The sequence below is a fragment of the Homo sapiens genome, chromosome 12 (assembly GCF_000001405.40).
Source record: "Homo sapiens chromosome 12, GRCh38.p14 Primary Assembly".
Classification (NCBI taxonomy): Eukaryota; Metazoa; Chordata; class Mammalia; order Primates; family Hominidae; genus Homo; species Homo sapiens.
In genome coordinates, this window is record NC_000012.12 from 24,896,310 (window position 1) to 24,911,379 (window position 15,070).

Consider the following 15,070-nt stretch of genomic DNA (forward strand, 5'->3'; position numbering starts at 1 on the left):
AGACTTTACTTGCAGACCAAATGCAGCCAGCTGGCCTGTTTTGAAATTAAAATGTTATTGGAACATAGTCACGCCATTCTTGTATCTTCAGTGGCAGCACAGCCAACTAGTTGTAACAGAAACCTGATGGCCCTCAAGCCTAAAATATTTATCATCTAGCCATTTAAGAAAGTTTAGCAGGCCGGGCACAGTGGCACACCCTGAATCCCAACACTTTGGGAGGCCGAGGCGGGTGGATCACCAAAGGTCAGGAGTTTGAGATCAACCTGGCAAACAGCACAACCCTGTCTCTACTAAAAATACAAAAATTAACTGAGTGTAGTGGTGGGCGCCTGTAATCCCAGCTACTTGGGAGGCTGAGGCAGGAGAACTGCTTGAACCTGGGAGGCAGAGGTTGCAGTCAGCAGAGACACACCAGTGCACTCCAGCCTGGGCAATAAGAGTGGAACTCCATCTCAAAAAAAAAGAAAGAAAGTTTAGCAACCCCTATTCTGGACTATTTAGACAAGAAGTCTGGCTAGAGTATTCACAGTTGAATTCCAAAGCTAACACAGTGCCTAGCACACAGAATAGTAAAGGGTTTCTTAAATACTGAAGATGTCTGGCTGCTTTCAGATACACTCACAGAAGATGTCCAGGATTTAAAGAGAGTGAAATTCTAACACAAACTTTTTATTACATGAATAGTTTCACAGTATTCTTGCACAATAAACACCTGTGATTTACCTTAGTTAGCTTTTATCAGTGAATGGGGAGGACCCTGGGCTAAGAAACATTTGGAGCCATATCAATACAGTACGACAAACTTAATGCAAATTTTCTTCTACTAAGACTACTTAGTAAAAGGGGAAGGGTAGTAAAACACAAAACAAAAACAGAAAGATGAGAGTGGGTGACAAGAATGATTATGATCCAGTATATATAATTTTTAGTTTTCTGAGACCTCTCCTTAAAATACCCATAGGACCCACAATAACCCACTAATCCAGAGAGATCAAATTAGCGGCAAAGCAGGGATAGAATAAGGTAATTTTTAACCTCAAATAAGTGTTCTTATAATTAGAACTTCATAATATCAGTTAAATTTCTGACAATTAAAGATAAATTATTACATTTCTAGGTATGACTTCTATTTCAGTAAACTGCTACATTCTTTCGTAAGACACATTATTTCTTAATGATATGAATAGCAACCTCTAACTTTCTGATTTGTACCTAAGCACTGCCCTGTATCCAGTTTTGTTTTGTTTTGCTTTTTCTTTTAGATGGAGTCTCACTCTGTCACCCAGGCGGAAGAGCAGTGATGTGATCTGGGCTCACTGCAACCTCCGCCTCCCAGGTTCAAGTGATTCTCCTGCTTCAGCCTCCTGAGTAGCTGGGACTACAGGCATGTGCCACAACACCCGGCTAAGTTTTGTATTTTTGGTAGAGATGGGGTTTCACCATGTTGACCAGGCTGGTCTCGAACTCCTGACCTCAGGTGACCCACCCACCTCGGCCTCTGAAAGTGCTGGGATTACAGGTGTGAGCTACCGCGCCCGGCATATATCCAGTTTTTCAAAGTAATATACGATTAGGTGGCTTCAGAATCTCATCATGAACTTTTCTCTACTTGAAAAAAAAATTCTGCAACTCTGAAAACTAAAAATAACAACTTTTAACCTGAGCTCAAAGAGAAATTACCTAAGAATACTAAATTACTAGGTGATAGAATTGAATAAAGTTCAAACGTAAACAAGCAATATTAGCTGAAGACATGTGACTCGTTTGGGGCAGATATGAAATGTAGTTTTAAGGGAACGATTTGTTTCCTAAAGGAAACAAATTTTATAAACAATTTTTATCAGTGTTCTTTAAAAAGTATTTTCTTTTTCTAGATTTCCTTTCCAAAGATAAATAAAAATAATATTTTGTCAAATGATACTTTCTTCTGCATAATTAATCTGTCTCTTTCCAATGCTCCACATTCCCTGATGACATCGAAGTCAGGATGTTTCACATCATATGTTTGTGGAAGAATTGGAATGCCACAATAACTGATTGTGAAATGGCAAGAAATATTGAGAAAAACAGGGCATATTAAAAACAACTTCCTAATTCAAAGTTTGCAGTTGGGTAATCATTTGTTCTGAAATAGGGAGGCTCAGGGCAGGGAAGTGTAAATTTGTTGAAAGCACCTGAAAACTGTTTCAGCCAGGGTTCAGTCAACACTTTTTTTTTTTTTTTTTTTTTTTTTTGCTCTGTTGCCCAGGCTGGAGTGCAGTGGCACAATCTCGGCTCGCTGCAACCTCCGCCTCCCCGGTTCAAGCAAGTCTCAAGCCTCAGCCTCCCAGGTAGCTGGGATTACAGGCATGTGTCATCGCACCTGGCTAATTTTTGTATTTTTAATACAAACAGGGTTTCACCATGTTGGCCAGGCTAGTCTCAAACTCCTGACCTCAAATGATCCACCCACCTCAGCCTCCCAAAGTGCTGGGATTACAGGGGTGAGTCACCATGCCAGGCCTGTCAACACCTTTTGCTCACCATCGTATAGCACATTTGCTCTTCTCTTCATTGGCCACATTTTTCAAAAATCAAGTCTGTATTACAACTGTATCAGACATTTAATAACTTTATTCTAGGTTCTTGTGCATTATTCTTACTCCATTTGGAAAGCCTTAGGCACTATGTTCATCTTTTGGAGATACTCTTTTAAAATCTAATAAAGAGGATCATGAAGAGAACTGCAGATTTGCAGTGTTGCATTCTGTGGAGATATGTGAAGCTGGAGGAATTGGAAGAAATAGATGGCTGACCTCTTGCAAATGAAGAGGATCCTAGAGTCCACAGAAAGATTCGCCAGGATGTGTAACAACGTATCTCATTGCTAGGCCCTGCTGCAAAACTGCATCCTCATGTAATATGACTGCATCATAAATGGGGAGGGGAGAAGAAATACGAAAACTACCCAAGAGAGACCCAAAAGGCCATATGAAATGTTATAAATGATGTAGATTAACAAAAAGGTAGAGAAATATGTCAAAAGCAACCACAGTTAGAATGGTTATTATTAGAAAGACAAAAAATAACAGATGCTGATGAGGATACAGAGAAAAGAGAACGCTTATACACTGTTGGTAAGAATGTAAATTAGTTTATCTACTGTGGAAAATGGTATGAAGCTTTCCAAAAAAAAAACTAAAAGTAGAATGACCATATAAACCAACAATCCTACTACTGGGTATTTTCCAAAGGAAAGGAAATCAGTATATCAAAGGGATATCTGCAGTCCCATGTTTATTACAGCACTATTCACAATAGTCAAGACATGGAATCACCTAAGTGTCCATCAATGAACAAATAAAATGTGGTGCATATACACAATGGAATACTACTCAGCCATTAAAAAAGAGTAAAATCGTGTCATTTGTAGCAACATGGATGGAACTGGAAGTCATTATGGTAAGCGAAATAAGCCAAACACAGAAAAAAAAAAAAACCCAGAAAAACAAATATTGCATGTTCTCACTCATACGTGAGAGCTAAAAAAAAAAGTTGATCTCATGGAGGAAGAGAGTACTCATAGAATGATAGATATCAGAAGATGGCAGGGGGTGGGAAGGGTGTAGGTGGAGGAAGAGAGGTTGGTTAATGAGTACAAACATACAGTTAGATAGAAGCGATAAAGTCTACTGTTCATAGCAGAGTAGGGTGATTATAGTTAACAACAATGTAGGCTATATATATATATTTTGTTTGTTTGTTTGTTTTTGTTTTTGTTTTTTGAGACAGAGAAAAGTATATCAAAAACAAAGATGGTCTATAAAATCTACCATTTTTATTCCCTAAATTATCAATATCATTTTTACACATGCCTTATTACATATGTGCTGTGAATACATCCACCATAACTCATGTTTTGATGTGTAAATACATGAGTGTAAACAGGCAATTCCCCTAAATAAAACCTAATATACAGAAATCTAAATTAACAAATAAAAAAGATTATTTATGGCCAGGCATTGTGGCTTATGCCTGTGACCCAGCATTTTGGGAGGCCGAGGTGGGAGGGTTGCACAAGCCCAGGAGTTGGAGATCAGTCTGGGCAACACAGGGAGATCCCATCTCTACAAAAAATGACGAAATTAGTTGGGCCTGATGGCATGCAAGCCGATAGTCTCAGGTACTTGAGAGGCTAAGAGGATCACTTGAGTCTGAGAGATCAAGGCTGAAAGTGATACCTAATTGATGGTGCCACTGCACTTCAGTCTGGGCAACAGAACAAGACTCTGTCTCAAAAAAAAGAAAAAGAAAGGAAAAGATTATTTAAATTTGAGTTGATATTTTTCTTTGCAAAGAATTCTTCAGGCTAGGCTTGGTGGCTCACGCCTGCAATCCCAGCACTTTGGGAGGTGGATTGCATGAGGCCAGGAGTTCGAGACCAGCCTGGCTAACATGGTGATAACCCCATCTCTACTAAAAATACAAAATTAGCTGGGCGTGATGGCACATGCCTGTAATCTCAGCTACTCAGGAGGCTGAGGCAGGAGAATCACTTGAACCTGGGAGGCAGAGATTGCAGTGAGCTGAGATCGTGCCACTGCACTCCAGCCTGGGTGACAGAGCGAGACCCTGTCTCAAAAAACAGAAAAGAAATTGCAATATTCTAATTTTGCTTTTTAAAAAATCCTTGCTAAGATGACAGCAAGAGAAGGAAAAAGAAAAATAAAATAAAAATTCCTTGCAAGTAGAGACCTAATCTTGAATTCACCTTTGGATGTCCAATGCATGGCACAGTCTCCAGCACACTGTGAGAGAGCTCAATGTGTGAGAAACTGATGAGTCAAGTTTCCTTCCCTCTCTGAACCGCCAGGATGTGAGATCATTAGGACACTCTGTGTCAATTGTCTGATGACAATTGACAGTGACTCAAACAGGCAGAAGAGCAGCACTAGGCATAAAAAGAAGAAGCTAAAACCTCCACGAGGAGGGAGGGTAGGAGATAGACTTATAGAAAAAATAATATTACATCTTACATTTGTATTTGTACAGTTTTCAACGTGCTTTGTTTCTCACTGTTTGAAGTATGAGCTATTTACTATATAAACCCCGCAATTCAGATAGAAAAGAAGAAAATGCAACACTTTCACTGTAGAGTGTTATGTGCTACTGAAAGAGAAAAATCACAGTTTAACTTTTTCTACAAGTAGACTGAAGGTTTGTACGTATTATGGAATCTGATAAACAACTAGTTTAATATTTACGCATTGACTATTTTTCAAGAAAAATATATGACTCAAAATAAAATCAGCAATTAGCTGCTAGATAATTTTTGTTGTGATGAATGTACTGTCACTCTCTAAATGGCTTTTTTTCCTCTAAGAGTGGAATTTTAAAAGTCTGGCAACACAACCTAGGAACTGGGTAACCCACACAGTGAAAATTTCCCCGAATCTCAACAAGAAATGGATTTATTCAGTTGAACGTTGCTTTAGACACTAAGCCTCTGGCAAGCAACTTACCTTAAAAGTCCCCACCACCTCTTTTGATCCTCCTTCTCCGGTACACTCTGCGGAGCATCCGTTACTGCAATCCTTAAAGAAGAATTAAACCACCATTAAGTAAATGCAGGTGGGTAAGCGGGACCCGGGGTAACCTACGTGACGCTCACCATGATACCGTGCGCTCCTCTCCAGGACCCAGGCAAACACAAAAAAGGAGGCTCAGACAACCAAGCACCCAGGCCCGAACCTCCAACAAGCGTGTCTTGGGAGCGCTGCCCTGCACTTCCCACCCTGCCGGGGTCGCGGCGGTTTTTGTCCTCCTCCGCCGGCTCAGGGAAGACTGGTTAAATTCCAGGTCAGCCCTACAGAGCCAGGGTTCGCCGGCAAAGAACAAAAAAACAATTGTCTCCCTTATATCCGAGCAAATAGTCTAGACTGGGGTGTTAAGCCATTTATAGAAAAATCTCCAGGGCGCGCTCAGCCTCGTGGTCTTGTCAATCACAGACGCACAATAGCAAGCCTGCAAAGGGAACGGGGACGGGCGTGAACCATTTCCTCCACCAGCAGGGTCCTCCGATGCCGCAGCATCCACCCCACACCTTAAACCTCATGGTATTAGTGGGCAATTTAAAAGATAAAGACACAGGGAAGCGGGACTAATTGGGAAAACCTGCAGACATTTGTTTTAATGCGTAATCTGCTAAATAACTACGGGGGTGGGGGTGGGGAAGGAAGAGATCCAAGGAGGCAGAAGGCTGCGGTCAAAATATTTTGGGGTGGCAGAGTCACGTAGGATGTGGCTGTGGGTTCTGGCAGCCCAGAGATTCAGCTCCCGCCTCCTCCCTCAGAGCGAGTCCATAGCTACCCTCACGTCCCCCGTGGCGGTCCTCGCCACGCTCCGGAGCGGGTTACCCATGAGGGTGCTAGACCTGGGCAGCGGGAACCTCGAAGAGGTGGAGATTGCAGGCTGGGACTCCAGATTTCGGGCAGGGATGCGGGGAAGGGAAGACGCCTCGCTGGAGGCGGAATGGAGGGCAAGGCGAAGGAGGATGGTGCAGGAAACGGCGACAAGGCGCCCGGCCAGGCCCGCGAGCTACCGAGACCCGGGTTCCAATCCTCCCCCCTTCCGCAAACGCCCGGGTTCGAGGTACCTGGCGGGCAAGGGCCGCAGCGGAGCGAAGCGGGCTGGCCATGGGGAGGCTGCGGGGACGCGGGGCTGCAGAGAGCGGCAGTGGCACGGAGCGCGCGGCTGGAAGCGAAAGCAGGCGGTGTGGCCAAGCCCCGGCGCACGGCCCATAGGGCGCTGGGTACCACGACCTGGGGCCGCGCGCCAGGGCCAGGCGCAGGGTACGACGCAACCCCTCCAGCATCCCTTGGGGAGGAGCCTCCAACCGTCTCGTCCCAGTCTGTCTGCAGTCGCTAAAACCGAAGCGGTTGTCCCTGTCACCGGGGTCGCTTGCGGAGGCCCGAGAATGCGCGCCACGAACGAGCGCCTTTCCAAGCGCAGATATTTCGCGAGCATCCTTGTTTATTAAACAACCTCTAGGTGAATGGCCGGGAAGCGCCCCTCGGTCAAGGCTAAGGAAACCTCGGAGAAACTACATTAGGGCAGCTTTTCCACCGACTCCAAATCCAACTGACAAAAAGCAGTTTCTGCCCTCGAGAGTTTGCGGGCGGGGATTGACATTTGTGCGTCTGCTCTTGTCTGCCACTGACCGCTATGTGCAAACTGAAGGGGGAGAACGTGAATCCAGCTTTTAGATTTCCCTGCGCCACCTACCCAAACCGAATTTGTAACTCGGGGTGTTATGGGGCTACCAGGCTCGCATTCCCTAAGGGCCATTTCTGCCCAAAGATCTCAATGCCTTTCATCGTTTTCAGGCAAAGCAGACCATCAAGAGCTCCAATCATACTGTTTTCATAGTTTTCCGATGTAGGCTCGTGATCGCAATATTTAGAAAGAGGACTGGAAAAGTGATGTTAGAAGTACTATTCGGTTTAGAAAGGGAAAGGAGGATTGGAATAGCTATTGTCTTATATGCAGTGTTCGCCTGGGGCAACGTCAGCCTAAATTATGAGCCTTCCTGGTTTTTAAATTAATAGGAAGTGGTAACTGGGGCTGACTTGATCTTGGAAAGAGGGGGAGGGCAGTTTATTCTGGGTGAAAGCGGTTAAATCCGGTTTGGTTTTTTAAATGGTTTCATACAACGCTACTGATAATATACTGTAGCTCTAATCTTATCAACTCAGAAAACCTACACTTTTCCTCTCCTTTATACAAGGCACAGAAAGGCCTCTTACGCTGGGGTGGGGTCCCAAGCTCCAAAGACCACAGAGTCCAGGCAGGTCACGTACCACCATAGAGCGGCGAGTGTCCCTGGAAGTCCAGGGTCGCTTATAAGATAAGTTTTGTCCTTGTTGTTTTGAGACGGAGTCTCGCTCTGTCGCCCAGGCTGGAGTGCAGTGGCGCGATCTCGTCTAATTGCAACATCCGCCTCCCCGGTTCAAGCAATTCTCCCATCTCAGCCTCCCCAGTAGCCGGGACTACAGGCCTGCGCCACCACGCCGGGCTAATTTTTGTATTTTTTGTAGAGACCGGGTTTTGCTATGTTGCCCAGGCTGCTCTCAAACTCCTGGACTCAAGCCACCCACCTATCTCAGCCTCCCAAAGTGCTAGGATTACAGGCGTGAGCCACGGCGCCCGGCCTCCATCTGTATTAACTGCTTCTATTTCCTCCCCATTAAGGGCTTCTGTCCAATTATTCCACCTAAATAAGGTCTCTAATAGCCTTCATTTTGTTCCTGCCAATGGTTTTGCTTCTCGTGCATTTTCATGGCTGCACCTATGTGCTGATGACTCCCAAATATATTTTTTCAGTCCATCTGTCTCCTGAGCAGTAGGTACTTGCTACTCAAAAATCTGTCTAAAATAAAAACGGTGTATCTATCCACCATGTTCGAAGCACTGGGCTAGTTGCTGGGGGAGGGTTGAGAGCATACCATCATCCTGTTATCATGCATTGCCCCCAGCCAGAGAGAAAAGTGTTAATTGTGTTAGAAAGTGTTAAGGAATCCCACAGACAGATGTAAAATTATAACAAGTGCTGCCTGTGCTCTAAGAGCCTCTAATAATGGATTGTATTGACTCAGAAAGGCCTGGAAAGGCTTTCAGCAAGTGATCCTTGAGCAGAAATCTGAAAGATTAAAGAAATTTACTAAAGGAAGAAGGGATGAAGAGCACCTGGTATGAAAGTGAGTTCCAGGACAAAAGAACTTCTCTGAGGAGGGCTGGAACAAAGGGCCAAAAGAGAGCCTGGGGCTGCGGTAGACAGAAGAGGATGGAGCTTGGGCTAGTGAGTAGCCAAAGGGCCAGCCAAGTAGTGCCTTAGGGAGAGCTAAAGAATAATTTTAAAAAGCAAAAATAAGGTAAAAGCCTGACTGTCATACAGGTATAAAATAAACTAAATTATAGAGTTTATTTAAATCATTTAATGAAGTTACCAGGCAGATATAAAAACTGGTTCAAAGAACAGGCATGTTTATAGGTCAGAAATATTGAAATGAATATGCAAATGAAATTGGCTTCTTCCACAGTAGGGGAGAGAAGTTAATTGAACCCTGACCTTCAGATTTTACTTGCATGACTGCATGCAATAATTATTTTGCATTTCTATCAGTCATCTGTAAAATAACTCAAAAACAATGAAACAATGTAAGACCCAATGAAAGGGCCCATGGAATCAGAATCAGATAACCTTAAAGGTTTGCTCTAAATAATTCAGTTTTCCATTGAAGTACAAATTTTTCCCTACAGTACGGTAATATAATTTCTTCATTCAAGAAGTGCTATTAGTCAGCAACAGCTGAAGTAAACCAGACATAGTAGTCACTGTACTTACTAGTTACACTAAGAAGCTGTAGCTTTAGCAGTTTTCAATTTAGCTTAACCTAGGGGCAAGAGAAACCATTGAAAGGTTAAGGATTAGGTGGAGTATGCAGGAGCGGTGACAGAATTGAAGGTATTGGCTGCAGTTTGGAGATTGGAAGAGGGTCTGGGTGGAGAGGAATGGATTTTGAAGAAGCTATTACAGAACCCACATACGAGATGATCCTTTTAATAAGTCAGATTTGGCTGGTGGTTGGTAATAGAAGTGGAGAGAAACAGCCAGATTTCAGCAAGAATGGAGATAAGGTGGCAGCCTGGGCAACATGGCAAAACCCTGTCTCTGGTAAAAATACAAAAATTAGCCGGGCTCGGTGGCATGTGCCTGTAGTCCCAGCTACTCACGGGATTAAGGTGAGAGGATTACCTGAACTTGGTGAGGTTGAGGCTGCAGTGGGCCAGGATCACACCACTGCACTTGCCTGGGTGACACAGTGAGACACCATCTCAAAAAAAAAGAAAAAGAAAAATAGATGATATAAGGTGGGACAAGGATGAGAGAAGTGCCAAGGAGGCCTCCTTGGATCTGACTTGCTTATCTATTTGGTGATGTTCACTAAGAAAAAAGGAATGTTGAAAAAGAATGTGTTTGAGGGGATGAGGAGGAGTCTGGTTTGGGACCTATGATTTCTGAAGTGTCTCCAAGACTGGCTGTGAGAGATCTGCCTGTCTGAAGCTCAGAGAAGAGGTCTGGATTAGAGGTATTATTGAATCATTGGCATAGAGGTGGTAACTGAAGCTATGGGTGCGAAAGAGAATCTCTATGTCAGTTTTCTCCGCTGTAAAATGAGACAATAGCAACACTTCATGTTTGTCAACTGGGATAGATGAGCATTAATATATGAAACTTATGTATATTACTTAGAACCATGCCTGATGTCAGCCATGCAGAATAGGTGAAAGAACGGGCATGGCTCTGTTTCCATTAAACTGTATTTGAAAAACGGGACAGAGCAAATGTGGTCTGTGGACTGTAAGTTGCTTACTCCTGCTCTATGTAGTTGCTCTAGTAGAAACATAGCAGTTGTCCCTCAAATGCATCCAAGTGATGATCACCAATGTCTATCCATTCTTGCTCCAAATACCCTGACAGTTGCCATTTCTCCAACCATGTTATCCGCATCCTAGTACCAAACAGCTTCCAAGCAGCTCCTCTGACCCCAGCCTTGCTTCTCTTTAAGCCATTCTTAGCATGACAACCAGTGAAAATGTCTCAAACGCAAATCTGAAGACATCTCCTCTTGGTCAAAAAACCTTCAAGGCTTCACATCACCCATTTGACAAAATGATTGGCAAGCTCCCAGCCCATCCCAGATTCTGCCTTCTGCCTCTGACTCTCCAGCTCACCTTTTGCTAGGCTCTTTCTTTCTCTCTCCCCCCACACATTTAATTTATTTCAGTCCTTTCGGACATCAGGCCTTCTCACAGGTGCCCAAATACCTGTAACATTCCCTGCCTTTGCCAGGCACTGTCATCCTTCCTTGTTCAGTCCCTGTGCCATGTCCTTGGCAGGAACGTCTCTGAACCCTGTCTAGGCTACAGTGGGTTCCTCTGCTGTTTATTTACATACAATGCTTGCCATTTCAAAATAATGGTAATATTTTATTCTAATCATTTGATTAATGCTCTTCTAATTTTATGATGGGAAGTTCATGTCTGTCAGGCCTCTGAGCCCAAGCTAATCCATCATATCCCCTGTGACCTGCACGTATACATCCAGATGGCCTGAAGCAACTGAAGATCAACAAAAGTGAAAATAGCAGGTTCCTGCCTTAACTGATGACATTCCACTGTTGTGATTTGTTCCTGCCCCACCCTAACCGATCAATTGACTTTGTGACAATACACCCTCCCTGCCCTTGCGATAATGTACTTTGTGATATTTCCCCACCCTTGTGAATGCACTTTGTATGATACACCCTCCCCACCCTTGAGAAGGTACTTTGTAATATCCTTCCCTGCCCTTAAGGTACTTTGTAATATTCTCCTCGCCCTTGAGAATGTACTTTGTAAGATCCATCCCCTGCCCACAAAAAATTGTTCCTACTCCACCGCCTATCCCAAACCTCTAAGAACTAATTATAATCCCACCACCCTTTGCTGACTCTCTTTTCAGACTCGGCCCGCCTGTACCCAGGTGATTAAAAAGCTTTATTGCTCACACAAAGCCTGTTTGGTGGTCTCTTCACACGAACACACATGACAATGCCTATATTATTCACCTAGCCATCCCACCTCACCCAGTGCCGGACATGCTGTGGAGAGTTAAAAATCTGTTGAACTGCAGCTCTCTAATATTTTAGAAAGCATGTACTTAATATACTTTGGAATTTTAACTGCCAAAGTTTAGAATATAATAGACTAACATGTTCTCAGGGTCCACTCCACTCCTAGATATGAGCTTCTTTTCTTCATAGAACTGCTCTCCCTCACCCTAAATCTTTCTTCTTCCTTTTTTCCTATTTTCTGCCTTCCTCTACTCGTTGTCTTCCCTTGTACAGTCATAATAAGGACTTTATATGCATTGTGACTGTTCAAAGAGATTGGATCAATGCTTTCCAGTAGAACTTTCTGTGCTGATGGAAACGTTCTATATCTGCCAGGTAGCCACTAAGCCACATGTAGCTACTGAGCACTTCAAGTGTGGTTAGTGTGATTGAGAAACCGAATTTTTAATCTTGTTTCATTTTAATTTATATTTAAATGTAAATAGCTGGGCCGGGCATGGTGGCTCACACCTGTAATCCCCCCACTTTAGGAGGGTGAGGCAAGTGGGCAGGTCACTTGAGCTCAGGAGTTCAAGACCAGCCTGGGCAACATGGTGAAACTCACCTCTACCAAGAACACAACAAATTAGTTGGGCGTGGTGCCATACACCTGTGGTCCCAGCTACTTGGGAGGCTGAGATGAGAGGATCACTTGAGCCCAGGAGGTGGAGGTTGCAGTGAGCCAAGATCACACCACTCCACTCCAGCCTAGGTGACAGAGCAAGACCCTGTCTTAAAAAAAATAATAAACATTAAAAATTTTTTCAAATGTAAATAGCTAACTACATGGGGCTACAGTCTGAGCACCGGTTTGGGCATTGAAGTCCCTTGGTTGAGATTCGTTATCCTGGTTCTATCACTTATAAGCCCTATGACTTTTGGCAAATTACTAACCTCTTTTGAGTCTCATATTTAAACTCAGAGTAAGTAATGGGCAGTGACGACACTCAACATGAAGATATCTATAAAGGACTTAGCAGTACTTAGCACTTAGTAACTGCTCAGTACATGTTAGCTAGTGTTATATACCATGTTTTAATTTTTTTAAGACCCATTTATTTTTCAGTTATATGTAGCCCTTGGATTACGGTATACTGATGATTAGGATATTATGTGAGAGAAACCTTAAAAATATACATCTAGTGTTTCTAGGTTTTTGTTTGTTTAATAAAGTTTCTTTAAAAAAAATAAGGCCCAGTTTGGTTCAGAAAACAAACTGCACAGCTATTATTTACATGCTTCCTGGTTGGTATTGGGAAGACAATGACAGATGAGTATAATTCCTACCTGCCAAACCCTCCCCTTACTCCTGCCATGTCACGTCTCTGGAAAAGTGAGCCATAAAAAAATCTTGACAAAAGAATTCTCATTTGGGCTTATTCAATGCCAAGTCCCATTCAACGAAGTAAAATGAGCAATTCTATGTACTGTGTATGTAGTTACTGTATCATTTGCCTAGGACGGTAGTAACAAAGTGCCACAAACTGGGTAGCTTAAACCCACAGAAAGTGATTGTCTCATAGTTCCAGAGGTGAGGTGTGGACAGGCCCAGCTTCCTTTGGAACCTGTAGGGGAGAATCCTACCTTTCTTCTTCTAGCTTCTGGTAACCCAGGTGTTTCTTGGCTTGCAGCTGCCAACACTTCAATCTCTCCTTCTGTTGCATTGTGTTTTCCCTTCCTGTCTGTCTGCTTCCTGTAACTGCTTTGATTAATGGACTATGGAGAAATATGGAAGTGACACTGTTCTAAGACTAAGCATATACACTAACTGGCCAGGCAGTTTCTGCTTTCTTCCTCTTGGAAGGATCTTGGAACTACCCCACCTAGAACCCAGTCACCCCAGCTATAAATAGCCCAAATCACATGGAGGAGCCACGTGCAGGCTCATTAGTCAACAGTGCAACATCCAGCATCACTGTCAGCCCTGTGAGTGGCTGTCTTAAACATCCAGCCCAGTCAAGCCTTCAGATGATGCCGGCCCCTCATGACTGATTAAAAACACATGAGAGACCATAAGGCTGACTCAGACTGCTCAGCCGGGCCCAGGCAATCTAGAGACCATGAGAGATAAAAATAAATTATTGTTGGCCATGCACAGTGGCTCACACCTGTAATCCCAGCACTTTGGGAGGCCAAAGCAGGCATATCACCTGAGATCAGGAGTTCGAGACCAACCTGGCCAACATGGTGAAACCCCGTCTCTACTAAAAATAAAGGAAAAATTAGCTGGGCTTGATGGCGGGTGCCTGTAATCCCAGCTCTACGGGAGGCTGAGGCAGGAGGATCACTTGAACCCAGGAGGTGGAGGTTGCAGTGAGCCGAGATCATGCCGCTGCACTCCAGCCTGGGTGACATAGCGAGACTCTGTCTCAAAAATAAATAAATAAATAAATAAATAAATAAATAAATAAATAAATAAATTATTGTTTTAAGGCCACAAAGTTTGGGGTGGTTGGTTATATAGCAATGTTAACCAAAGCAGCATGCAAACCTAACATGCTTATTTCATTATTTATTTAAAAACCTAATAATAATAAATCATGCCCAAAAATAGGGATAAAAGGGTGAGATAAACATGAAATAAGTAATCCTTTAAAATATCTTTCTAACTATGGTTATTTTATTGTACCAGCCCTAGCTAAAGGCCCAGTATACACAAGGGCCAAGTAATCAGTAATGACAGTGATACAAATCCTTCTTTTAAAGTCTTCTTGATGATCAAAATTGTGTCACCCACTATTTGTCAGTTCCGATGAAATCATTGTTGTTTTTTTAATCTCATGATATGGTTAATGGAGAACTTATAATAAGAACTGGGGCCAGGCACAGTGGCACACGCCTGTAATCCCAGCACTTTGGGAGGCCAAGGCGGCCGATCACCTGAGGTCAGGAGTTTGAGACCAGCCTGGCCAACATGGTAAAACCCTGTCTTTACTAAAAATACAAAAATTAGCTGGGCATGGTGGCGAGTGCCTGTAAACCCAGCTACTCAGGAGGCTGAGACATGAGAATTGTGTGAACCTGGGAGGTGGAGGTTGCAGTGAGCCAAGATCGCACTACTGACTCCAGCCTGGTGACAGAGTGAGACTGTCTTAAAAAAAAAAAAAAATTGAAAAAATATTAGTTATCATGAAAAACATGACACATTTCCTTGTTTTACATTACTAATATTTTCATTATTATTCTGGCTTTATCCTTTTAAATTTTTATTTATGTTTGTTTAGAGTTTTTTTTGCAGACATCTCTTAAAGCCAATGTCCCTTTTGCAAAGATTATCAGTTAACACCAGATGACATAATCTGTAACTCTCCTTAACCAGGCTCACACAGACCGCCACAAATCACAACCCTCTGGAAGAGAATGAATGCGCAGGG

The 15,070-nt window shown here is 43.2% G+C and overlaps 2 protein-coding genes across 40 annotated transcripts in view, besides 2 other annotated features; one reads left to right on the forward strand and one right to left on the reverse strand.

Annotated features, from left to right (window-relative positions):
• Positions 1 to 15,070, reverse strand: part of BCAT1 (branched chain amino acid transaminase 1) — a 139,317-nt gene that overhangs the window by 86,286 nt on the left and 37,961 nt on the right. For 11 of the 39 annotated variants that reach the window (NR_182108.1, NR_182107.1, XR_007063109.1 and 8 more), the window contains exons 1-2: positions 5,654 to 5,913; positions 5,505 to 5,576 (exon numbers count right to left, since the gene is read on the reverse strand). The exons of 2 other annotated variants lie outside the window; for them this stretch is intronic. Coding sequence is in view for 24 of the 37 variants with exons in the window: in NM_001413093.1 (NP_001400022.1) it covers positions 5,505 to 5,576; positions 5,654 to 5,656 (75 nt within the window). In the remaining 13 variants the exon portion in view is untranslated. Of the gene's footprint in view, positions 1 to 5,504; positions 5,577 to 5,653; positions 6,592 to 6,637; positions 6,759 to 15,070 lie in introns of those variants that run through there. 26 more of the 39 variants (NR_182105.1, NR_182109.1, NM_001413100.1 and 23 more) reach the window with 8 other exon arrangements.
• LOC124902898 (uncharacterized) lies at positions 5,661 to 11,596 on the forward strand. Its single transcript, XM_047429951.1, has one exon. It carries the CDS (start codon positions 6,281 to 6,283, stop codon positions 7,019 to 7,021), a length of 741 nt encoding a protein of 246 aa, XP_047285907.1. The 5' UTR covers positions 5,661 to 6,280; the 3' UTR covers positions 7,022 to 11,596.
• Positions 6,220 to 6,721: an enhancer, noted in NCBI's record as "H3K27ac hESC enhancer chr12:25055463-25055964 (GRCh37/hg19 assembly coordinates)". NCBI's record gives its function as "activates a minimal SCP1, AML or CMV promoter by ChIP-STARR-seq in primed H9 embryonic stem cells {active_cell/tissue: H9 hESC(primed)}" and the evidence as "EXISTENCE:reporter gene assay evidence [ECO:0000049][PMID:30033119]".
• Positions 8,216 to 8,938: an enhancer, noted in NCBI's record as "NANOG-H3K4me1 hESC enhancer chr12:25057459-25058181 (GRCh37/hg19 assembly coordinates)". NCBI's record gives its function as "activates a minimal SCP1, AML or CMV promoter by ChIP-STARR-seq in naive H9 embryonic stem cells {active_cell/tissue: H9 hESC(naive)}" and the evidence as "EXISTENCE:reporter gene assay evidence [ECO:0000049][PMID:30033119]".

Bases quoted from the DNA above. Each gene is read 5' to 3' on its own strand.
- LOC124902898 (XM_047429951.1), top strand. From the start codon at position 6,281: ATGTGGCTGTGGGTTCTGGCAGCCCAGAGATTCAGCTCCCGCCTCCTC.